The following is a 24121-nucleotide window of genomic DNA, read 5'->3' as shown; positions in this document are numbered from 1 at the left end:
CAAATAAGCTTTCAATACCCAAGTGTTTAATCTCTGACAGCATACAAGTTACCGAAGTTAGAGAACTAGTTTCTAGACTGAGCTGTTGCTCTCTGTTCAATTTTATTAAATTTTCCCTCATTTGTAAAACTGGAAATAAGGATACTATCTGTTGTCTTCCAAAGTTAACATGAGTATCAAAAGCGACTGTTAATTTGTATACTTACTTTCTATACAACATTTCTAATGTTAGTAATTTGTAACATTACTAACTCAAAGCATATTTCAAAGTCATCTAAACAACGGTAAGACCATGTTGCTCAACTGCCAGTCTATTATTCAATGTGAAAGACTCAAACGTTACTAAATTATATTAAAAAAAGACATTATCACCAAATAATCCCTACTAATTCCTTCAAAATGTTAATAGTAACTTTTATTTGAAAGTTAGGGAGATGAAAATACATTTCCAAATTTTTCCAAAGATATAGCTAAATGACAAAATAAAAACTTCACTATGGGCCAGGCGCGGTGACTCACGCCTGTAATCCTAGCACTTTGGGAGGCCGAGGCAGGTGGATCACTTGAGAGCAGGAGATTGAGACCAGCCTGGCCAACTTGGTGAAACCCTATTTCTACTAAAAATACAAAAATTAGCCGGGCATGATGGCGTATGTTTGTAATCCCAGCTACTTGGGACATTAAGGCAGAAGGATCGCTTGAACTCAGGAGGCAGAGGTTACAGCGAGCCAGGATCACACCACTGCACTCCAGCCTGGGCAACTCTGTCTCCAGAAAAAAAAAAACCAAAAAACAAACCCTAACGATTGTACCTTAAGGTTTTTGCTTTTGGTTACTTTAAACAAGATTGTATGTTTTCAGACAGATCACAGACTATATAAAAATAACTCATTTCACAAAAAAATATTTTAATTATACTCTCACATAACCTATCTTAAATTTACAATAGACATTATTTCCTTTAATAAATCCTAATGGATAAAATCTCTAACTCTAAACTATACACGCTATGTTACAGCAAGTCTTATTTTAACTAGCAAGGTTTTTGGGAATAAAAACCTTCACAATCCCTGATTTCTCACTTTTTATATTGTATCTGCAAGTCCTTTCATACATTACTTCTGAACGAGCATTTTTCAATGAAATCCAAGATGCTAAGAAATCTAGTAATTACTGAAAAATGCTGTGATGCCAGTAAAGCCTAATCCTAAGGTAAACAAACGCACAAGTTCCACATTTAACTTGCTTTGTAAAATGCAAGTTACAAATCATAGCATATAGGTTATTATTAGTAAAGAAAATCATTAAATCTTAAAATGAAAAACTGGGAAATTTGAATTCAGTAGTTCAATGCATATAGTAAGTAACCTGCTGTAATCTTAAGTTTTTTACATGCTTAGAGCTTAGATAATCCAACTCACTTGCATTTGATTTTTGATAATGGTCTTGAATTTATATACATTAATTTTTTTCTTTTTTTTTTTTTTTTTTAAACAGACGGGTCTCACTCTATCAACCCAGGTTAGAGTGTGGTGGCACAACCACAGCTCACTGTTAACCTCAAACTCCTGGGCTCAAGCAATCATCCCACCACACCCAGCTAATCAAAAAAAAAATTTTTTTTTTTTTTAGTAGACACAGGGTCTTGCTATGTTGCCAAGGCTAGTCTCAAACTCCTGGCTTCAAAGGACCTTCCCATCTCAACCTCCCAAGCAACCAGCATTACAGAGATGAGCAGCTGTGCCTGGCTGAATTCTTTTTTTTTTTTTTTTTTTTGAGACAGGGTCTCAATCCGTCTCCCAGGCTGGAGTGCAATGGCACAATCTCAGCTCACTGCAACCTCCACCTCCTGGGTTCAAGTGATTTTCCTGCCTCAGCCTCCCTAGTAGTTGGGATTACAGGCACTCGCCACCGCAACCAGCTAACTTTTGTATTTGTAGTAGAGACAGGGTTTCACCACGTTGGCCAGGCTGGTCTCAAACTCCTGACCTCAGGTGATCTGCCTGCCTCGGCCTCCCAAAGTGCTGAGATTCCGGCGTGAGCCACTGACCCGGCCTGAATTCATTTTTGGATAAAAATCCAAAGGAGTTTATAATGCCTGCAATAAAAATCATACATATACACTTTTAACATCTTAGTGCCAAACACATCATTAGCAATAAAAAATAAACACCAGAAAACAAATTATAATGACTAAATATCTCACTATAAAATGAGGAAAAATCACCATTTTACGTTTTTTGAAGAGAGAATATCAAAGATGTACTCTCAATTCCAGAATGGAGATATACCTCATATTATTATTTCCATATAATATAAAGGAATATGGCAGCCAGGTATGTTAGAGATGGTAGAGACAGGAATGGAATCACAGTATTAGCTGGAAGACTCCAGAAGACGACAATCAGCTAGAAAGAAAATTGGAAAGTGGGGCCTAACTTAGCAAGTGATTAGATCAGAAAAACATCAAGTTTCTTGCAAATGAAGCTAAAGAAACATCAGGAAAGATGCAAATTTTTAAAAACGAAAAGCTAACAAGTACCTGGAGTTCATACAGGTAGAAAAATGAAAAAATCAAAGTGAAGAAAAAATGGGTACAGAAAAAGTAAGTGGCTAAAACACCACTAGCTCTCAAGAGTCAAAGCATTTAAGAATAGCTTCAAGGCCAGGATCACATCTTGACTCCCAGGAGTATCACACAAATGTTGGCACACAGTAGATGCCCCAGGTTTGTTGAATGAATAAGCAACAGAATGTTCTTGGGATTACTTCACCTGTAAAAGAATTGGCTGAGCAAGGTTTGCTGGAAATGATTGAAAGCATTTATAACTGAAAAACTGACTTCTTGCATTTGGGGATAAACTGGATCATAGTCACTAAAATAAGAGCCTATTTGTAAGAAGATGAGGTGCCATATCCTATTTTGTTACAATCACCAAATTTTTCAAAATAAATACAGTATAGTACAACCAGTACCTGCTCTCCAAGAGCTAACATTAGAAATGAAATCCACTATAGAAGAGTGGTTGATAGAGAGTACCATCTCAGGCTTTACATAATACTATGGAAAACTTACCCACAAAACTGATAACTCTAAAAGCTTAATTTTGCAACCCAATAACTTGTAACACTTTAATAATCAAATACACCTGCTACTACTGTTACAAAAATGTGGTTTATCTGCATAAATAGCACTAAGCTATAACTACATTCAATAGAGAACTACTTTCTTCTCATCCAAATTATTCAATCCCAGTGCAATCTTCTGACTGTATTTTCTCAAACCAGTAATTATGTAGAGGAAGCCAATGTTTCTCAGTATATGATCACACTGAATAAAGCTGATTTCTATCCTAGGTGGACAAAAGGGGCAAGATGCAAGGTATTTTTTTTAAAGTAAGCCAAGTATTGAAGAACTAGCTGCCAATAGGGGCAAAAAGTCACATGGTACTTTACTGAGTTTCCTTGGAAGCTTTTAATATTGTAAATCTGCTTAAGATATGTTATCTACTTAAGCAACATGTAGGAGAGAATATAGGTGTCTTTACTGAAATTGCTTTGTTCCTTAATGCATGCTTTTGACATGAAATGTAATTCGGGCAAATTAAGTCTGAAAATAGTTACTGAGAATTGGTTTTGTTTACTTATTCTCAGACTCCTACCACAAAGAGCTTGAGGCAAACTTATAATTGAAGGTACAGGACTGTGCAAAAGAAATCAGACTAACTTTTAAAAAGAATATTTCAATGAACCAGGTATAAAAATCACATCACCAAAACTGGAGAATACTGAAAATGTTTACAACAAAAAGCAAGAATGTATTTTCTAAGTCATAAATAATTTTTTAAATCTGGGAACTATCCTGAAAAAACATAATGAGTTTTTAAATTCATAGTTTATCATTGTAATTAGAAAACAGATTTGAACACCTTAAAAAGTAACAAACTGAAGCAACAATAAGGATCTCAAACTGAAATCTTTAAAAGGTCAAAGTTCCTTTCTTGGAAAAAAGTCCTGCATTTTTCCCATCCTTAAGAAAGCATGTTTTAAACTATATTCATAAATGCATTCCCTTATTATTAAACACTAAAGTCCGCTTTTTTTTTTTTTTTAATGGAGTCTCACTCTAGCACCCAGGCTGGAGTGCAGTGGCACCATCTCAGGCTGACTGCAACCTCCACCAACCAGGTTCAAGTGATTCTCCTACCTTAGCTTCCTGAAGAGCTGGCACTACAGGCGCCTGCCACCACCACCATGCCCAACTAACTTTTGTATTTTTAGTAGAGATGGGTTTTCACCTGCTGGCCAGGCTGGTCTTGAACTCCTGACCTCAGGTGATCTGCCCGCCTCGGCCTCCCAAGTGCTGAGATTACAGGCGTGAGCCACCGCGCCTGGCCTTAAGAGTCCACTTTTTAGATGCTCACATCAGCATCTTGTTTCTACAGTAACTTGTTCAGAGTAAAAAAAAAATGATAGGATTAAAATATTTTAATGACATAACTGAACAGTAACTTCTTCAAGCTAGAAATACTACTGCCGCCTTTTATATAGAGCTATTGTTAAAACTGTATGTCAAAGTTTCAACAAGAAAGATACTCACCACCATCCCTCTCTCTAACTCTGTGAGTATGCACATTTTTGGCCTTACTGTGACCTGTGCTGTCACTGTATTTGTTTTCAGGACTATCAGATCTCCGCAACATTTTATTTGGTGGTGAAGGATCTCCGGCGTCTCGCATCTTTTCATGTCTGTGATCACCGCTACTGGGGTGACTCTTCGATGAATACTTAAGTGCCTGTAAAACATCACCCCCCCAAAAAAAGAGAGAAAGAATTGAAACCTTAAACTCCCTAATTTAAACATAAACTTTGGTGTATTATCATTAAATTTTATGAACTTACAAAATTAAAATTTCCACTTTCAATTCTGCTTTACTCTTTAAAGTTTCTCAGACAAAAAACCTAATGCTTAAGCGTTACAATAAGACTCCTGATAACAAATCACACTAAACACAAAAAAAACCCACTCCATTATCTTATAAACCACCTTGCACACTGATTCTGCAAAAAATAAAAAAATTTGGCTGAGAATATTTAGAATCATTTTTTGATAGTCAAAAGAAAACTAGAAATTCAGTACTACTATAATCAATTTCTGCTCTACAGCTGATATACACAAACACATGTATAAATAAGCACATGCATATTTTTGCAAACCTACCAAAAAAAAAAAAAAAAACCCACACACCAGTTTCTCCAATTCTTTGATTCAAATAAAGCATTTCAGACCTAACTTCCTTACTCTCCCAGGTGTGGGAAACAATTTTAAGGTATAAAAATACTAACCAAAATAAACTAATGTGAGTACTATTTCTAACTAAGCATAATGCGCTCAAAATAATCGTTTAGCTTTATTCTAACACATATCTTAAGACAATCATGATGTACTAATCTGTTGCAATGTGTAATCAGCTATGCTTTGGAGGACAGATTCAGTAAAGTTTAATTTTTGACATATCCAATGTTTTACATATCAGAAGACAGTGTTTTCAAATTCAGCTGTATAACACAACCATCAGGTTAGAAACCTGCTCTCTAGTCCTTTAAGATGTAGAAAGTGTTTTCTGCAGTCATCTGATGGTTAACAATCATTATGAGGTTTCCCTCCTGAAAATTGGGGCCACTTTCATCATAATCCTTAGAACTTCACACACAATGACTGCAGTAACAAAAAGGAACCCACCTACCTAGAACCACCTACATCAGAATGATTATCCAAGTACCCAAAGACCTCAATTCTTACAGAAACAAAAGCACACATATCTTTTACTTGTAAGGCAATTAAGTATACCAAAAATATTAAAAGGGGAAAGGGTAGTACTTTATAACCGACTTGAAAGTTGTAAGTCATTTAGCTATTTACCCAAGTTCTTCACTTAATTTTAATACCTTTACATTAACTTTTCAGTTCCCCCAACACAATAAATAAATAAATAAGCCTCGTAAGTCACCTATCATCTCATCCCATCGATTCCTTCACTCGCAAATAATCAAATAATCGAGTCAGGTCTTTCTGGCTGCAAATGATTCTTTTTTCCTAAATCAGCGAACTCCCTCCAGTCACCTGTCAAAATAAGTCACTAAACCTTGCTGGAGAGCGCTAAAGGAACCAAACCTGGAATTTTAAGGGGATCCGCGGTGCTAGTTTCAGATGTGTTGCACCGAAGGGCCTGTATCGACTTCTGAGGCCTGCGCTCGAGTAGCAGTCCCTCCCTTCCCCCTCCGGCCCCTTCCAATCCCTCCACCCCGGCCTCGGCTGGTACCTGGTAAGGCTGCGAGTCCCCCCTCCGGTCGTGACAGCTGAAAAACAGGAAGAGAAGGCAGCGACATAAGACACGGCGCGGGTGGGGGGCCGGGGAGGAAGAAAACGGGGCCCCCGCCGCCCCTCCCCGCGGGAGACCTACCGAGCGCCCCAGCGCCGAGCCCCGCACGCACACGGCACAAACCCGGAGCCTCCGGAAGGGCCGGAGAGGGCGAAATGCCGCGAAGCCGGGCCCCCGCTCCCCGCCACACTGCGTTCCCGCCCGCCCGCCCGCGCGGCCGCTCCTCCTCCCCAACCCGATCCGGATCAGGGTTAACAACAAAAATGGCGGCCCGGCCAGCTCCAGATAAGGAGGAACAGCCCCCCCGCCGCCGCCCCCCGCCGCCGCCCGGCCCGAAACGAAAAGACAATTTACCCATCACTGAGTCTCTGCTGTTTCCTCGCATACATTACCATCAATGCCCGGCCTGTGAGTGTGTGTCGGGGAGGGGGGAGAGCGGCCGCGAAAGGCGGGCGGGCGCGCAGGCGGCGGCGGCGGCGGGCGGCGGGCAGCCCCGGCACCTGGGCCCGGCGCGCCCTCGGCGACTCTCATCAGCTCCCAGTTACTGGCGCCGGCGCTCCCGGGCCATCTCCCTCCGTCGACACCACGCTCACTCTCAGCCGGGGCAGCGGCGCCAACTACACGGCGGCACCGCGAACCGGGGGGAGGGGGGCAAGACGACGCGTCCGGCTCAGCCCCGCGGAGAGCGACTGCCTCCTCCGCCTTCTCCTCCTCCTGCTCCGCCGCCTCCTCCCCTCCTCCCCCCGCCGCCGCCGCTGCTGCCGCCGCCTGGTCCTTCTTCTCCTCCTCCTCCTCCCGCCGCCGCCGCCGCCGCTGGTGCCGCCGCTGCCGCTCCACCAACTACATCCGGGCAACTCGGACGCTGCCGCCTTCGGGAAACCTCGGCAGTTTCCGCCGGGCCCCTCCTCTCCCACCCTCGGCCTTCCTCCCCGCACCGCGCGGGTCCGGAACACCGCCCTCGGCAAACCTCGGCTGGCTCCGGCCTTTCTCCTCCTCTGAGGCCTGGATCTTCTCTTCGCGACCAGTCTGCCCTTTCCTTCTTTTCCTCACTCGCGAGTCGGCCACCGCCGTTCCCGTTTAGGGATAGTCTCGCTCGGGCGCCTGCTCGAGGCTGATCTCAGGGGCTCCGGGCTGCGCAGGGAGGGAGCCGCCTTCCGGAAGAGGACGGTGGGGCGCGAGGGAAGCCATCGCGGACTAAATAAGGGAGGCTGCAGCGGCTGCGCGTGCGCCCAGAGGCGCAGCGGGAGGGGGTGCTCTCGGGCGAGCTCTCCGGCCGCGGCCCCCGCCCCTGCGCTGTCGGGCGGGGAGGTCGGAAACCCCCTGGCGAGACCACGGGCGGACGCTTCCCGAAGAGCTGCCTGGGCTGCAGCCGCGGAAGCTGCGTTCTGGGGAGCGGGGAGCGTGCTCCGGCGCCTTCGGGCCGCTGCTGGAAGCCGGAACCGAGCCCGGGCCGCTGCCCCTCACCGGACGCCGCGCGCCACCGGCCCTCCGCGGGGCAGGGGCTGCTGCGAGCTCGCCGGGCGCCCTTTAGACGTAAGTCTCACCCTGCGCCCCGAGGCAGGAAGGAGCGCGTGCAGTCCCGGCCAGAAACGGCTAATAGGAAGGGCTGAGGGGTTCTGTGTTCAAGGCAGAAGGCCGTGCGTCAGGGCGGCCCTCAGCGGAGATGCGTGCACGGAGCGGGGAGCGCCGCTCGGGGCAGGGAATGAAAGCGGCGCTTGAGACTGGAAATTTAGGGAGATGAGTTCCTTGGGAACAACGCTGAACCATCTCACTGCCCCACCCTACCCCTTGTTATTTTTTTTTGAGACAGGTCTCGCGCTGTCGTCCAGTCTGAGTGCAGTGACGCGATCACGGCTCACTGCAGCCTCGACCTCCGGGGCTTACGGGTCATCCCACCTCAGCCCTCTAAGTAGCTGGCACCACGGGCATGCACCACCACACCCGGCTAATTTTTTAAAAAAAGTTTTTCCGGAGATAGGGTCTCGCTGTGTTACCCAGGCTGGTCTCGAACCCCTGGCCTGAAGCGATCCTCCCGCCTCGGCCTCCCAAAGTGCTGGGATTACAGGCGTGAGCCACTGCGCTCGGCTTTTCACCCCTTTCTAACGTTTTCCATCCCTTTCTAACGTTTTCCATACCCAGCGGTGCCCTGCCCACCCTCTCTTTATCTCTCACTTTTCCCTCCTCTGTTTCTTCCTCGCTGAAGTCCATTGGTGAAAGAAAATTCATGTGAAAGTTCTCAGGTGTGTTAAGTGAAATTGCTACAAATTTGATTTTATGTACTGCTGCAGGTACATTGAGAGAAGAAACGTGAAGTATACCAAACAACCGTTAGTTGAGAGTGGTGGTATTCGGGTGATTGGTTGACTTTTTTTTTTTTTTTTGCACTATTTGTAAGGCAACATAGTTTAATGAAAAGAATTGTGGTAAACATAATTAGGTGATTAACACAGAAGAGGCAAATAGTAAACAAGTCAGAAGAAACAACCCCCTCCAAAAAATAAAAAGTAACTGATTTACTTGGTATCCAAGAAGTTACGTTATTGCTAGACCTAATAGAATGGAGAGATGGAATGATGTAGGGAGAAAGGCTCTGAAATCACAACTGGTTGGAAAAAAAATTTTAATTACATAATCTTATTTGTCACATCCATCTGCCAGATGTAGAGCTTATTGCTGTTTGTGGAGATGTGCAGACCAATAAAAAGCCTATTTAATGCTCTCTTAAACTACCAGTAACTAAAAAAAAAAATTGACAGTGACTGAAATTATGAAAACAAAAAAATTCGGTAGCATCTTAACATGTAATTTCTGACATATTTGTAGTGAATCCATTGAAGACAAACATCAGAGGAGTACAACAAATAACATTTCATAGAAACTTTGAAAACTGGCAGCAAAATTACTACTAATTTGTTTGATAACTAGATGTCTGCTGAAATTGGTATAAACCATTTGCTCAAAAGTAGCCAGGCATGGTGATGCATGCCTGTATTCCTAGCTACTCCCAGAGGCTGAAGCTGAACAATCACTTTAGTCCAGGAGTTCGAGACTGCAGTGAGTCATGATCACACCAGTGCACTCCAGCCTGGACGACAGAGGGAGACCCTGTCTCAAAAAGTAAATAGGCCGGATGCAGTGGGTCATGCCTGTAATCCCAGCACCTTGGGAGGCCAAGTCAGGTGGATCATTTTGAGGTCTGGAGTTTGAGACTAGCCTGGCCAACATTTTGAAACCCCATCTGTACTAAAAATATAAAAGTTAGCCAGGTGTGGTGGTGTGCGCCTGTAATCCCAGTTATTCGGGAGACTGAGGCAGGAGAATCACTTGGGCCTGGGAGGCGGAGGTTGTGGTGAGCCAAGATCTTGCCACTGCACTCCAGTCTGGGTGACAGTGAGACACTGTCTCTAAATAAAACCACATTATCAAAAGTCTGATCTGCTCTCCTTTACAGAAATACTTTATCTTTACTTCTCTCTCGAACCCACAGACTTCATTCCCACACTTCTGGACCTGTTCAAGATCATCTGTAGCATCCATGTTTTCAAGTCTGATTTTTATTTCTCAGTCTTCATCTCCACTTGTCAGCAGCATTTGACACAGCTGATAACTTTCTTCTCCTTAAAGTTCCTTATCTTGCCTACCAGGATTTCATTTTCTTTCTTGCTTCTCTTCCTTCCCAAATGGCTGTTCCTTAGACTCCTTACTGGTTTCTCCTTCTTTTCCAGCCTCTAAATGCTGGAGTGGCGTGAGATTCAAATCTTACAACCCGCACTCCTCTGTTCTCTCTCCCTAGGCAATCTCATTCAGATCTCTGGCTGGATGAAACCCACATTTGAATTTCCAGTCCACACCTTTCCTCTGAACACAAGACTCACACTTAACTGCCTACTGTATAGCACTGCTTGAGTTTCTAACAGGCATCACAAACTTAATGTATTCAAAACGAAACTCTTAATCTCCCCCCACCCCAAACAAGTCCTGCTGAGATCTTCCCAATCTCTTGAAATGACAACTCCATTCTTCTAGTGGAGGCTAAAAACTTTGGAGTCATCTTTGATTGTTTTATATCTCACATTGACTCCATCAACAAATTTTGCCAGCATTACCTTCAAAATGTATCCACAATCTGATCTCTGTAACCCACCTCCAGCAAGTTCACTCTGGTCCAAGCCACCATCATTAAACCTGGACCGTGGCAAAGGCTTTCTAACTGATCTTGCCCTTCTATGCCTGCTTCCACATTGTTTGCTGTCTCATACAGTGCAGTAATCCCTTAAAAAGTCAGATAATATTCCAATCTTGAATAAAAGCCAAAGTTATAGCCATGATCCACTAGGCCATATGTAAACTGCCTGTTACTTCTGGCTTCTTATCCACTGACTTCTTTATTTGCTCTTTTTTTGTTTTTGTTTTTGTTTTTGTTTGAGACTGATTCTCACTGTCGCCAGGCTGGAGTGCAGTGGGATGATCTTGGCTCACTGCAACCTCTGCCTCCCAGGTTCAAGCAATGCTCCTGCCTCAGCCTCCTGAGTAGCTGGGACTACAGGCACGTGCCACCACACCCAGCTAATTTTTGTATTTTTAGTAGAGACGGGGTTTCACCATGTTGGCCAGGATGGTCTCCATCTCTTGACCTCGTGATCCACCCACCTCAGCCTCCCAAAGTGCTGGGATTACAGGCGTGAGCCACCGCGCTCAGCCCTGCTTTCTCATTCTTTTCCCACCATTCTACCCTCCCTCCCTGTTTTCTCCAGTATACCAAGCATGCCTCTGCCTCAGGACCTTTGCACTGCTGTCCCTTTGCCTGGAATCCTCTTCCCCCTTAGTACTTGCTTGGCTCACACCCTCACTTCTTCAGGTCTCTGCTTAAGTCTTGTCTTGTTTAATTGAGAACTCTACATGATGGCGCCCTACCACCATGTTGCTCCCTTAACCCTGATCTATTTTTCCTAAACCATTTGCCATATATTTTGTTTATTGGTTGTTTCCCACTAGAATGAATGCTTCATGTGGCATACCATAAATATTTGTTGAATTAAAGGATATTTGCCTGCAGAAACGTATACGATAAAAATAGCAAAATTGAATTCTCAAGAGGAAAAAGCTTGGGTTCTATTTCTGTTTGCTTTGTGAAAGAATAAAAGAATTACAAATCCAGTCCTGTTCTCACAAATAAGATGGAGGATAAAGCTAGATTATTCCTAATACAGGCAAAATATTGTAATAGATATTAAAAAATGTACATGAATTTGCATGTATAGCAAATCTTAAAGCAGATTATTTACACTGCTATCTAATGAGAAATATCAAGTTTGCAAATGAGTAAAAGACCCATATTTCAACCTGTAGACTGAATACATACCAACCAATAGAGGGGAAAAACTATCAACTCATAGGTTATATATAGGTTGACCAAGATTTTAATGTGATTCTATTGAAGGAAGAACTGAAGGAAGAACCAAAAAGTGAAATCCTCAAGCCTCTAGTTGTGAAAGGGATTTTTTTTTTTTTTTTGAGACAGAGTCTGACTCTATAGCCAGGCTGGAGTGCAGTGGTGTGATCTCAGCTCCCTGCAGCCTCCACCTCCCGGGTTCAAGCGATTCTCCTGCCTCAGCCTCCCAAGTAGCTGGGACTATGGGTGCGTGCCACCACACCCAGCTAATCTTTGTGTTTTTAGTAGATGGGGTTTCACCATGTTGGCCAGGATGGTCTCGATCTCTTGACCTTGTGACCTGCCACCTCCGCCTCCCAAAGTGCTGGGATTACAGGCGTGAACCACCACGCCTGGCCAAAAGGGACTTTAAAAAGCTTTGTTGCAATTTCTAAAACATCATAAGGATATATTTCCAAAAATTTTCACATACTTCATTTCTATCTCTTTTTTCTCTGTCCTTGCCTTCCTCACAAACTCAGCCTAGTATAGTGATTAAAAGCGTGGGTTTTAGAATCAGTATGACATTGCGTAGAGCTCAGGCTACATTATTGACTACCAACATCACCTTGGGCAAATTACTAGTCTTGAGGATTATCCTGCTTTGTCTCTAAACTTCACTTAATAGGGTATAGTACTGTTTGTGAAAAGTAATTGAAATTGTGTAAATAATTTAGCAGTACCTGGCACATACATGTTTCGCTACTGGTGGTTATTCATTTTGAAAAAATAGTATTGAAGTTCTGCGTATCAAGTCTTAGGAACATAGTGTTAAGCAAAGTCACTTGGGTTTTGCTCTTATGGAGTTTGTATTTTAAGAATAATACATAACTAAAAGGAGATGCTTTGGGATCTCAGATTTGTGATATGAAGCTTTCATTCAATTATGACGAAAAATAAGAAACTGCAACAAAAATTACTATCTAGGAAAGGGGAGTAAACACCAGGACGTCACCATATCAACATATGGTACTAGGCAGGGATGATGTAAATAATGCAATCAACAGATCTTGGGAGAATTACTTACTGACTCAAGATTGGCCATTTTTTAAAGTTCTTCCAAGTAATAGATACTAAAGTTCAGCTAATATTGAGAAGCATACCCTAAACCCTTTACCTGTGTCTGGCGAAACTTCAACCTGAGTTAATCCAACCATTCATTTTCTGAGCACCTCTGAGCAGTTGCATGCTGCTGAAGATTATAAAATAATAGAATATACTGATTCCACTTAAGCCTCATCATCACCAAAATCAAATGACATAGTAATTTAGAAAGTAATAAGTGCTACAGAGAACAGTAGGTAAAGTGTTGGATGGAGGAGTAATGTTTTCAAGTAGAGTGGTTATTGAGCACATGGCGTTTGAGCAAAGATTTGAAGGTGATGAGGTAGCAAGCTATACAGGTGTCTGGAAAGGAATGTTTCTGGCAAAGGGGACAGCAAGAGCAAAGGTCCTGAGGAAAGACTGCCTAATGTGTTCAGAAATAATAAGGAAAGCTCTGTGATTGAAGGGCAGTGACTGAGAGGGAAAATATTAGGAAATGAGGTGAGGTTAAAGAAGTGGGTGGAGGAACAGACTGTGAAGAATCTTATAGGCCATTATAAGAAGATTGGCTTTTATTCTGAGTTAATTGGGAAGCCATTGAAAAGTTATGAGCAGAAAATGACATGGCTACTGTGTTGAAAATATCTGTATTGCAAGGCAAGGAGCAGGGAAACCAGTTAGGATCCTACAGCATTGCCTAAGTGCTTCAGGTTACTGTTTCAAAGCGGAAAGTAAGCTTCTCATCTAAGGCCATTTTCTCTATCTGTCCTTTCTTGCCACCCCCCCTTCAGTTCACCTTATATTATCAATTATCCCTTCCTTTGTATATTCAAACTCTCTTTCATCTGGATTATTTCCACTGATCTTTAAACATAATAAATCCTACCACCAGAAAACCCTTTCTTGACCGTATACTCTTAACTGCTCACTTCAGCCAAACATCTGCTAAGTCTTATTTGTGGTACCTCACTTGTTTCATTCTTTACTCTCGTATTGACATTTTAGGTCACTATTGTTTGACATCTGCCCCCGTAATATTAGCAAAATAGATTTCCCTGAGGCAGTAGTTCTTAAAGAGGCAGTGCTGAGTCTCCAGGGGGCATTTGGAAATGTGTGGCAGTATTTTTTTTTTTTATCACTGCTATATTTTCAGTATGACTTAAGGGTGAAGGGTGCTACAGATATTTAGTTACCAGAAGTCAAAGATGCTAAACATGTAGCAATGCGTAGGACAGTTCTTTATATTTAAGACTTGTCCTGCTCAAAATACCAATGTTGTCTCATTTAGAAATAGTGTTAAGGTCACAGGTCACAAACAACTTCTTTGCACCTATGTTTAATGAACATTTTTTTCACTCTTTCTTAATCTCAGAATATTTGACATTGATAGTGCCTCCCTTTGCGTTGCCCTTCTCTCTCGCCTTCTATGGCACAACACATTTTGTATTTTCTTCTTCCTTCTCTGACTGCTCCTCTCATTACTTTTCACAGAGTCGTCCTTGTCTACTCCACTACCAAATGTTGAAGTTCTTCAAGAATCAGTCCTTTGGAGGTGATGTCATTGAAAATGATGAGTAGGAAACTCCAAGAGCGCATTTCTCCACAAAACCAGTGAATACATTGGCACAAATTGTCAGAATCAATTTTATATAAATTCTGGAAATTAGTCAAAGGTTTATAGTAACCAAGGAAACATCTTTTTAAAAAGATGGCTGAGGCTGGATGCTGTGGCTTATACCTGTAATCCCAGCACTTTGAGAGGCCAAGGCGAGCAGAGCATTTGAGTCAGGAGTTAGAGACCAGCAAAAAAATTAGCTGGGTGTGTTTGCGGGCACCTGTAATCCCTCAGGGAGGCTGAGGCAGGAGAATCGCTTGAACCTGGAAGATGGAGGTTGCAGTGAGCCAAGATCGTGCCACCTCACTCCAGCCTGGGTGATAGAGTGAGACTCTGTCTCAAAAAAAAAAAAAAAAAAAAGTCTGAATCCTGAATCTCAGGAGCGCTTTCTATCATTTAAACTTACCCTGGTGCCACCTCCCTGTCCAGCTTTGAAAACAACGACATGCATTTCTGATATCTGTTCCTGGTGCCAAAGGGAGCAGGATGGCCTTGTTTTCTTTTCTTCTTTCTTTTTTTTTTTTGAGATGGAGTTTTGCCCGTGTTGCCCAGGCTGGAGTGCAGTGGCGCAATCTCGGCTCACAGCAACCTCCGCCTCCCGGCTTCAAGCGATTCTCCTGCCTCAACCTCCCGAGTAGCTGGGATTACAGGCACTTGCCACCATGCCTGACCAATTTTTGTATTTTTAGTTGAGACGGGATTTTGCCATGTTGGCTAGGCTGGTCTCGAACTCCTGACCTCAGGTGATCCGCCCACCTCAGCCTCCCAAAGTGCTGGGATTACAGGCATGAGCCACTGTGCCTGGCCGTGGACCTTCTTTTCAAAGAATTATGGAGGCTTATTTTAGTTCCCCTAACTTGGAAATCTCCTGAGGAAGAAAGGTGACTACAGGCATTTGTCAAAAATTTGTAAAGGCAAGTTTATTAGCCTCTGCCATCGGGGGCAAAGAATAATAGCTAAGGCAAACAATAGACACACCAAAAAGCCTGGGAGGAAAAGCTGGAAAGTAAGATATTTTGGAGAATAAAGGCTTTTAAAACTTCCACATATTCTTGGGAATCCAAAAGGCCACATGTACATGCAGGGTGAGCAAATAGAGAAGACTTGAGAAAGCCTTAAACTCTCACCTCTGGCTAACCATCAGGCTTGCTCAAATAGGAAGTGAAAACTAAGGTGAATTTGTTGCTTAGCTGAATGTTGAAGGTGTGCCCCAACACTTACACAGAGCCTACTGGTAAAGACTGAGAGTGTTTTCTTTTTGTCTTGGTTTCAGGCATTTAAGGAAATCTGTTTCTCTTTTGGATCACTAGCTGCAAATTAAGCTAACAGAACAGGAGCTCAGCTGGTCACACACAGCAACGAATACAGACTTTATAAAGTTCAGAAAAGTTACCAAACAGTGGTAACCATAACAAGTACCAACAATGAACTATGGGGAGGGAGGAGAATCTGATTTCCAGAGTTACCACATTATAATACTATTCAAAATGTCACATTTTTAGCAAAGATTACATGACAAGGAAAAACCAGAAAAGTATGGCCCATACACAGGTAAAAAAAGAAATTAATAGAAACTACCCCTGAAGAAGCACAGACTTCGGATGTACAAAACAAAGACTTTTCATCAACTCTTTTAGATATGCTAGAAGAGCTAAAGGAAACCATGGACAGAGAACAAAAAAATTAGGAAAGCAATGTCTCATCCAATACAGAATATCAATAAAGAGATTGAAATTGTAGAAAAGAACCAAATAGAAATTCTGGAGTTGAAAAGTATTATAACTAAAACTGAAAATTCACTAGAGGTATTCAGCAGCAGACTGGAGAAGTCAGAAGAAAGAATCAACAGGCTTCAAGATAGGTCAATTAAGATTATACAGTCTGAGGAGCAGAAAGGAAAAAGAATGAAGAAAAATGAACAGAGCATAAAAGACCTCTGGGACTCTATCAAGCATACCAGTATATGCATGAGGGGAGTCCCAGAAGGAGAAGAAAGAGAGAAAGGGACATAATATTTGAAGAAATAATGGTAGAAAATGTCCCAGCTTTGATGAAATACATGAATCTAGATATTCAAGAGGCTCAAAGAACCCTAAATAGGGTAAACTCAAAAAGACCCACACCGGAATGCAAAAGTGAGCTGGGTGTGGTGGCACGTGCCTGTGGTCCCAGCTACTCGAGAGGCTAAGGCAGGAAAATCGCTTGAACCCAGGAGGCAGAGATTGCGGTGAGCCGGGATTGCGCCAGTGCACTCCAGCTGGGCGACAGAGCGAGATTCCATCTCGAAAAAAAAAAAAAAAAAAAAAAAAAACTATTGCTGCAGTCATTCAGATGGAAATGGGGAAAGAATAATATTAACTGATTTCAAAAAGGACTTGAAGATGTGAATCATCTATTTTGCTGAAGAAATCTTAACTCTTTGAAATTACTTTTTGTTGCTGTTGTCATACTCTTAGGTGCCAAACTGCGGTAAATTTTTTATCAGTGAAGTGGAAGCATGTGTTTTGTTGTTTTGGGAATTTTTATCAAGTATCTTCAGAGAAGATTATTTCCTGCTTTATCTTCAAAAACTGGAAAGGAAGGGTCAAAGAAAAGACAGTAGCTGGCCGGTCATGGTGGCTCATGCCTGTAATCCCAACACTTTGGGAGGCTGAGGTGGGCAGATCACCTGAGGTTGGGAGTTCGAGGCCAGCCTGACCAACGTGGAGAAATGCCATCTCTACTAAAGATGCAAGGATTGGCCGGGCGTGGTGGTGCGTGCCTGTGATCCCAGCTGCTCAGGAGGCTGAGGCAGGAGAATCGCTTGGACCTGGGAGGTGGAGGTTGCGGTGAGCTGAGATCACGCCATTGCACTCCAGCCTGGGCAACAAGCGAAACTCTGTCTCAAAAAAAAAGAAAAGACAGTAGCTTATGTTCATGTCAAGCACCTCTCATCACAGTCTAGTTCCAAGGAAAAAATTCCCAGCGTTTTCTACATTCGGTGCTGCGTCATCTGAAATCGGCACATTCCATGGAGGAAGGAGTCCTGCTTTGTTGCATGTATCCTAGGGTTTAATGTTGGTAAATGAGTCACTCTAGCATTTGTAGAAGGCTCCCTGAGACTCCTGCAGCAGTCGACCAAGCCCAAGGACATAATTGAATCTGGAGAGTCCTGGGGCCTTGTTTTGAAAAAGACTTGAAATACACATAGGAAGAAAGGCATAAAAATAAATGTTCACTTGTCTCTGCTGTGAGTATGTGTTCCAACTTTTCAGTGATGGCTTTGAGAATTCTCAAACTTGACTGGCTCTAAGTGTATCTGGTGGCTTTTGTATCGTAACCTGAAACTGGCTTAGTACTTTTTCCTAAAAGCTCAGGATTTGAGAATGAGGACCCCTTCGCCAGGAAAACATGTATACACTCAAAATTTTGCTTGCAGTTCTAGGGTGTTTAGACCTTTCTCAGATACCTGTGCATCTTATGGGTTTTGTTTTTCTCTTTGAGACAGTCTCACCCTGTTGCCCAGGCTGGAGTGCAGTGGCATGGTCTCAGCTCATTGCAGCCTCCGCCTCCTGGGTTCAGGTGGTTCTGCCTCAGCCCCTTGATCGGCTGGGATTGCATGCATGTGCCACCATGCCCGGCTCATTTTTGTATTTTTAGTGGAGATGGAGACAGAGTTTCACCATGTTGGCCGGGCTGGTCTTGGGCTCCTGACCTCAGGTGATCCGCAAGCCTGGGCCTCCCGGGGTGCTGGGATTACACGCGTGGGCAACTGCGCCCAGCCCTTGTGTACCTTATGTGAGGAAGTCCTGCTCAATCAGGATCGGTCACGCAGGCCCTGATCTTGCTACTCTGGTTCCATGTCCTATGGAAGACCAAAGTTTACCAAGATAGATTTTTCCCTTCATAGTGGCAGATACTGTTAACCCCTGCACCATCTATAACTCAGAAATCCCCACCATTTCTTCCCCTGGGCTTCAGAATAGAATTGCCTGGTTTCTCTGATGATCAGCACACTTCCTTAAAACCCAAATCAGCAAGGAATGAACAATTTTGTTTGGCATGGATGAAATTAGCACTGTTTGGCTCGGTAGGCCCCAGACAGGCAGGCACCTTAATTTTTTCCTTGCATATTCTAGTCTTCAGAAGCATTGCCTTTTGTCCTACTGGTAGTGACATAGATCAATAACAGGGCATCTGGGGATTTTAATCCTGAAAACAGTGAGTCTGATACTGCTTGTGTTTTTCATCAGTGTCCACCCCGAGTGGGTCTTCCTGCTATTCTCTTCACTTAGTTGCCCCTCACTTGCCATCTGAGCAATTGGCAAGGATGTGCCAGGCCTAGGTTAAACTTGGAAACATGCTTGACCATTCTATTCCCTGGTCCTTTAAGATCAGTTTGGCTGCAATTTTGGCTCCTTGGACCCTCAAGCATAGCTGGTAAATCAAGTTAGAGATGTAACTGCCTTAAAACGTGCCAGCTTAGGCTGGGCGCGGTGGCTCACGCCTGTAGTCCCAGCACTTCGGGAGGCTGGGGCAGGCGGATCACCTGAGGTCAGGAGTTCGGGACCGGCCTGACCAACGTGGAGAAATTCTGTCCCTACTAAAAATGCAAAATTGGCCGGGTGTGGTGGTGCATGCCTGTAATCCCAGCTACTTGGGAGGCTGAGGCAAGAGAATTGCTTGAACCCAGGGAGGCGGAGGTTGCAGTGAGCCGAGATCACGCCATTGCATTCCAGCTTGGGCAACAAAAGCAAAACTCTGTCTCAAAAAAAAAAAAAAGTGCCAGCGTATGAGGTAATTAGATTGGTTCTCTCCAGAGGTAACCTGCCAAGAAGAGATGCTATAGATGTTACTCATATACTGTAAAACATTGTGAAATCAGATTACTTTAAAATGATGTATTACAAAGTTTTGCAAAAAAGCAGTTGTGACTGTGGAAGCCCAAGGCTTATATCCCAGCTCTGTCTTACACTAAATATGGGTAGAGTGTTTCCACTCTGTCCATAAAATGGGAGCTAATATTCTCCAACCTGTGTGCCTGACATGATGGTTAAAAGGATTAAACAAAACAATAGTTTGTAATTTATTCTGTCAGAGCACACTGCTGGTAAATAAAAGGGAGTAAGTTGACTAAAACTAAATTTAAAAAAAAATCCTAATAAAACAAGTTTGTAATTTATAATTGTATACAAATAAAAGATGTTACAAAAAAAAAAAAGACCCACACCAAGACACATCATAATTAAACCGTCAAAAGTCAATGACAATCCTGCAAGCAGCAAGAGAGAAGCAATTCCTCACGTACAAAGGATTCTCAATAAGATTAATAGCTGACTTCTCATTAGAAACCACAGAGGCCAGGAGGCAGAGGCAGTGGGATGATATATTCGAAGTGCTGAAAGAAAAAACTGTCAAGAATTCTGTGTCCAGCAAAACTATCCTTCAAAAAAAAAAAAAAAAAGTGAAGGAGAAATTAAGACATTCACAGATAAGCAAAAACAGAAAGAGTATCTCACTAGTAGTCCTGCCTTACAAGAAATACTAAAAGGATCCTTCAGCCTGAAATGAAAAGACACTAGACAGTGATTCAGATCCACATGAGGAAATAAAAAACACTGAAAAAGATTTAAATACATAGGTAGATATAAATGAAAGCAATAATTATATCTGTGTCAAAGCACAATGTATAAAGGTGATTCATGATGAGGAAAAGATGAAGTATAGGAGCAAAAATTTTGTGTACTATTGAAACTAAGTTGGTATTTATTTGAAATAGATTGTTATAAATGAAAGTTAATTGTAATCCCTAGAGCAACTACTAAGAAAATAACTAAAAATTTTGGAAAGGGAATAAAAATGGTATGCTAGAAAATATCTAATACAAAAAAGGCATAAGGGAGGAATTGAGGAAGACATAGGGAAAACAAATAGCAAGGGGCAATGTCCTTCCTACTAATTACATTAAATGTGAATGCCTTAAATTCCATTTAACAGATGGAGAGATTGGCAGAATGGAGTCTTTTAAATGTTCTAACTATATCCTGTTTACAGAAGACTGACTTTAGAACCAAAGACACAAACATGTTGAAAGTGAAAGGGTGTCACCTTAGTTTTCTTTCTTTTTTTTTTTTTTTGAGATGGAGTTTCACTCTTTTTGCCCAGGCTGGAATGCAATGGCGTGCTTGGCTCACCACAACCTCCGCCTCCTGGGTCCAAGCAATTCTCCTGCCTCAGCCTCCTGAGTAGCTGGGATTACAGGCATGCGCCACCACGCCCAGCTAATTTTGTATTTTTTAGTAGAGATGGGGTTTCTCCATGTTGGCCAGGCTGGTCTTGAACTCCCAACCTCAGGTGATCTGCCCGCCTCGGCCTCCCAAAGTGCTGGGGTTACAGGCTGAGCCACCGCGCCCGGCCAGCACCTTAGTTTTCTTGTGCTGCCGTAACAGAATACCTGAGACTGGGTAATTTATATAGAGCAGAAATTTATTTTCTCACAGTTTTGGAATCTGAGAAACTCAAAATTACGACATTGGCAGGTTTGGTTGTCTGGTAAGAGCTGCTTTCTGCTTCCAAGATGACACCTTATTGCTGCATCTTCTATAGGGGAGGAATGTTACATCCTCAACGTGGCAGAAGGTAAAAGGGCAAAAAGGAATGAAATTCCTCATCAGGCCCTAAGTTAAGGGCACCTAATCTCATTCATGAGGGGAGGAGCCCTCAAGACTTAACCACCTCTTACTGGCTGGGCGCAGTGGCTCACGCCTGTAATCCCAGCACTTTGGAAGGCCGAGGCGGGTGGATCACAAGGTCAGGAGATAGAGACCATCCTGGTCCTAGTAGAGACACGGTGAAACGCGGTCTTTACTAAAAATACAAAAACAAGATTAGCCGGCCGTGCTGGCGGGCGCCTGTAGTCCCAGCTACTTGGGAGGCTGAGATGGGAGAATGGCGTGAACCTGGGAGGCGGAGCTTGCAGTAAGCCGAGATTGCGCCACTGCACTCCAGCCTGGGCGACAGAGCAAGACTCCGCCTCAAAAAAAAAAAAAAAAAAAAGACTTAACCACCTCTTAAAAGTCCCACCTCTTAATACCATCATGTTGGCCATTAAGTTTAAATATCTGAATTTTGGAGGGCACACATTCAAACCATAGCAAGTGGAAAAAGACATTCCAAGATATCTCAGGTTCACATGGAACATTCTTCAGAATAAAACATGTTAGTCCACAAGTCTCAGTTTTAAAAGATTGAATTACAAAGTGCCTTCTCTGACTACAATGGAATAAAACTGAAAATAACACACCCTTAAACAACCAATGGATCAAAGAAAGATTAAATCACAAGAGAAATCAGAAAATACTTTGAGATGAATAAAAACAAAAATGCAGCACCCTAAAACGTTTGGAATGCAGCAAAAGCAGTGCTCAAAGGCAATTTTATAGCTGCACATGCCTACATTAAAAAATACCTAGAATCAGCAACCTAACCTTCCACCTTCAGGAACTAGAAAAAGAAGAGGAAATCAAACCCAAAGCTAGCAGAAGGAAGGAAATAGTAAAGACTGGAGTAGAGATAAATGAAATATACAGTAGAAAATAGAATCCACAAAACCAAAATTTGGTTGTTTGAAATAATAATGTTCACAAACCCTTAAAAAGACTGAGCAAGACAAAAAGATTCAGGTTACTAAAATCAGGAATAAAGTGGGGACATTACTGCCAATCTTACAGAAATAAAAAGGATTGTAAGGAAATACTATTAACAATTATATGCTAACAAATTAGATAACCTAGATAAAATGGACAAATTCCTAGCAGCACACAAACTACCAAAACTAACTCAAGAAAAAACTAAACCTATAACAGTACTAGTTAAAAAAAAAAAAAGTAAACCAGTTAAAAACAAAAAACTTCCAAGATAGGAAAGATCAAACCATGTGGCTTTACTGGTGACGTAAAGTATTTTAAGAGTGCCAGTCCTTCTCAAACACTTAAAGTAGGGGAAGAGGGAATATCTTAACTCATTATATGATGCCGGCGTTACCCTGGTACCAAATCCAGACAAAGACATCACAAGAAAATAAAACTACAGTCCAATAGTTCTAATGAATATAGATGCAAAGATCCTCAGCCAAAGTGAATCCTGAAGCACATTACAAGGATATCCACAAACAAAACTGTTAGAGCTAATACCTCAATATCACAGGATGCCCAGGATCAACATACAAAAATTAGTTATATTTCTGTATCCTTGCAATGAACATTTCAAAGTGAAATGAAGAAAACTCATTTACAGTAGTATCAAAAAGAATAAAATACTAATAAACAAGATGTAAGACTTACACACTGAGAACTACAAAACATAGTTGAGAGAAATTTAAAAAGACCTAAATAAATAGGCATTTTATGTTCACGTATTAGAAGACTTTGAAAATGGCAATACTCCCCCAATTAACCAACAGAATCAGTGAAATTCCTATGAAAATTCCAACTGCCATTAATGTAGAAATGGGCAGGTTGATCCTAAAATTCATAAGAAATTGCAAGGATGTGGCCAGGCGCGGTGGTTCAACGTCTGTAATTCCAGCACTTTGGGAGGCTGAGGCGGGCGGATCACGAGGTCAGGAGATAGATACCATTCTGGGTAACACGGTTAAACCCCGTCTCTACTAAAAATAAAAAAAAAAAAAGTGTAGCCGGGCAGGTGGTGGGCGCCTGTAGTCCCAGCTACTGGGGAGGCTGAGGCAGAAGAATGGCATGAACCCAGGAGGCAGAGTTTGCAATGAGCCGAGATCGCGCCACTGCACTCCAGACTGGGTGAGAGAGCTAGACTCCATCTCGAAAGAAAAAAGAAAATGAAAAAAAGAAATTGCAAGGATGCCAAAACAGTCTTGGAAAAGAACAAAGTTAGAAGACCCACATTTTGTGATTTCAAAATTTACCACGAAGCTACAGTAATCAAAAGAGTGTGGTACTGACATAAGGATAGATATGTAGGCCAAGAAAACAGAATTGAGAGCCCAGAAGTAAGCCTATACATCTGTGGTCAATTGATTTTTGACAAAGGTGTCAAGATAGATCACTGGGGAATAGAATAGTATTTTTAAGAAATGCTGAGGATACTGGGTATCCACATGTAATAGAATGGATTTGGACCCTTACCTTACACCACATGCAAACATTAAGTCAAAATAAATCAAATACCTAAATATAAGAATGAAACTATACAACTATTAAAAGAAAATATTGGGGTAAGTCTACATGACCTGGGATTTCCCAGTGGATTCTTAGATATGATACCAAGAACTCAAGTAGCAACATGAAAAATAGATACAACTGGGCTTGATCAAAATTTAAAACTTTACATATCAAATGACACTATCAAGAAAGAGAAAAGAGAACCCACTGAGTGAGAGAAAATATTTGCAAGTCGTATACCTGGTAAAGCTCAAATAACTCTTACAAGTCATCAGTTAAAAGACGACCCAAGTTAAAAATGGGCAAAGGACTTGAATAGACATTTCTCCAAGGGAGATATTCTAATGGCCAAGTACATGAAGAGATGCTTTGCATCATAACCTTCCACCTTAAGGGAAATGCAAATCAAAACCACGATGAGATACCACTTTCTATACTCACTAGGGTGCTATTATTAAAAGACAAGTGTTGG

The 24121-nt window shown here is 42.3% G+C and overlaps 1 protein-coding gene and 1 long non-coding RNA gene across 19 annotated transcripts in view, besides 8 other annotated features; one reads left to right on the top strand and one right to left on the bottom strand.

Moving 5' to 3' along the window:
- WAC (WW domain containing adaptor with coiled-coil) overlaps positions 1-7579 on the bottom strand; it is a 90334-nt gene extending 82755 nt beyond the window's left edge. For 5 of the 18 annotated variants that reach the window (XR_007061967.1, XM_047425310.1, XM_047425311.1 and 2 more), the window contains exons 1-3: positions 6738-7240; positions 6176-6360; positions 4601-4796 (exon numbers count right to left, since the gene is read on the bottom strand). Coding sequence is in view for 17 of the 18 variants with exons in the window: in XM_047425310.1 (XP_047281266.1) it covers positions 4601-4796; positions 6176-6360; positions 6738-6768 (412 nt within the window). In the remaining variant the exon portion in view is untranslated. Of the gene's footprint in view, positions 1-4600; positions 4815-6011; positions 6125-6175; positions 6361-6737; positions 7241-7350 lie in introns of those variants that run through there. The other 13 variants (NM_016628.5, XM_047425313.1, NM_100486.4 and 10 more) reach the window with 9 other exon arrangements.
- Positions 6237-6486: a silencer, noted in NCBI's record as "silent region_2255". NCBI's record gives its function as "represses an Ori minimal core promoter by ATAC-STARR-seq in GM12878 lymphoblastoid cells {active_cell/tissue: GM12878}" and the evidence as "EXISTENCE:reporter gene assay evidence [ECO:0000049][PMID:35858748]".
- Positions 6497-6606: a silencer, noted in NCBI's record as "silent region_2254". NCBI's record gives its function as "represses an Ori minimal core promoter by ATAC-STARR-seq in GM12878 lymphoblastoid cells {active_cell/tissue: GM12878}" and the evidence as "EXISTENCE:reporter gene assay evidence [ECO:0000049][PMID:35858748]".
- Positions 6757-6836: a silencer, noted in NCBI's record as "silent region_2253". NCBI's record gives its function as "represses an Ori minimal core promoter by ATAC-STARR-seq in GM12878 lymphoblastoid cells {active_cell/tissue: GM12878}" and the evidence as "EXISTENCE:reporter gene assay evidence [ECO:0000049][PMID:35858748]".
- Positions 7047-7196: a silencer, noted in NCBI's record as "silent region_2252". NCBI's record gives its function as "represses an Ori minimal core promoter by ATAC-STARR-seq in GM12878 lymphoblastoid cells {active_cell/tissue: GM12878}" and the evidence as "EXISTENCE:reporter gene assay evidence [ECO:0000049][PMID:35858748]".
- Positions 7047-7986: a biological region, named in NCBI's record as "NANOG-H3K27ac-H3K4me1 hESC enhancer GRCh37_chr10:28821447-28822130".
- Positions 7157-7840: an enhancer, noted in NCBI's record as "NANOG-H3K27ac-H3K4me1 hESC enhancer chr10:28821447-28822130 (GRCh37/hg19 assembly coordinates)". NCBI's record gives its function as "activates a minimal SCP1, AML or CMV promoter by ChIP-STARR-seq in naive H9 embryonic stem cells {active_cell/tissue: H9 hESC(naive)}" and the evidence as "EXISTENCE:reporter gene assay evidence [ECO:0000049][PMID:30033119]".
- Positions 7347-7536: an enhancer, noted in NCBI's record as "active region_3193". NCBI's record gives its function as "activates an Ori minimal core promoter by ATAC-STARR-seq in GM12878 lymphoblastoid cells {active_cell/tissue: GM12878}" and the evidence as "EXISTENCE:reporter gene assay evidence [ECO:0000049][PMID:35858748]".
- Positions 7567-7986: a silencer, noted in NCBI's record as "silent region_2251". NCBI's record gives its function as "represses an Ori minimal core promoter by ATAC-STARR-seq in GM12878 lymphoblastoid cells {active_cell/tissue: GM12878}" and the evidence as "EXISTENCE:reporter gene assay evidence [ECO:0000049][PMID:35858748]".
- Positions 8004-20441, top strand: WAC-AS1 (WAC antisense RNA 1). Its single transcript, NR_033805.1, has 3 exons — positions 8004-8623; positions 14350-14410; positions 15747-20441. It is a non-coding gene; the product is annotated as a WAC antisense RNA 1 (long non-coding RNA).
- The last annotated feature ends 3680 nt before the right edge of the window (positions 20442-24121 follow it).

Source organism: Homo sapiens, chromosome 10 (assembly GCF_000001405.40).
Source record: "Homo sapiens chromosome 10, GRCh38.p14 Primary Assembly".
Taxonomy (NCBI): domain Eukaryota; kingdom Metazoa; phylum Chordata; class Mammalia; order Primates; family Hominidae; genus Homo; species Homo sapiens.
The sequence above is the reverse complement of the archived record's forward strand: the minus strand, read 5'-3'. Positions and strand labels throughout refer to the sequence as shown.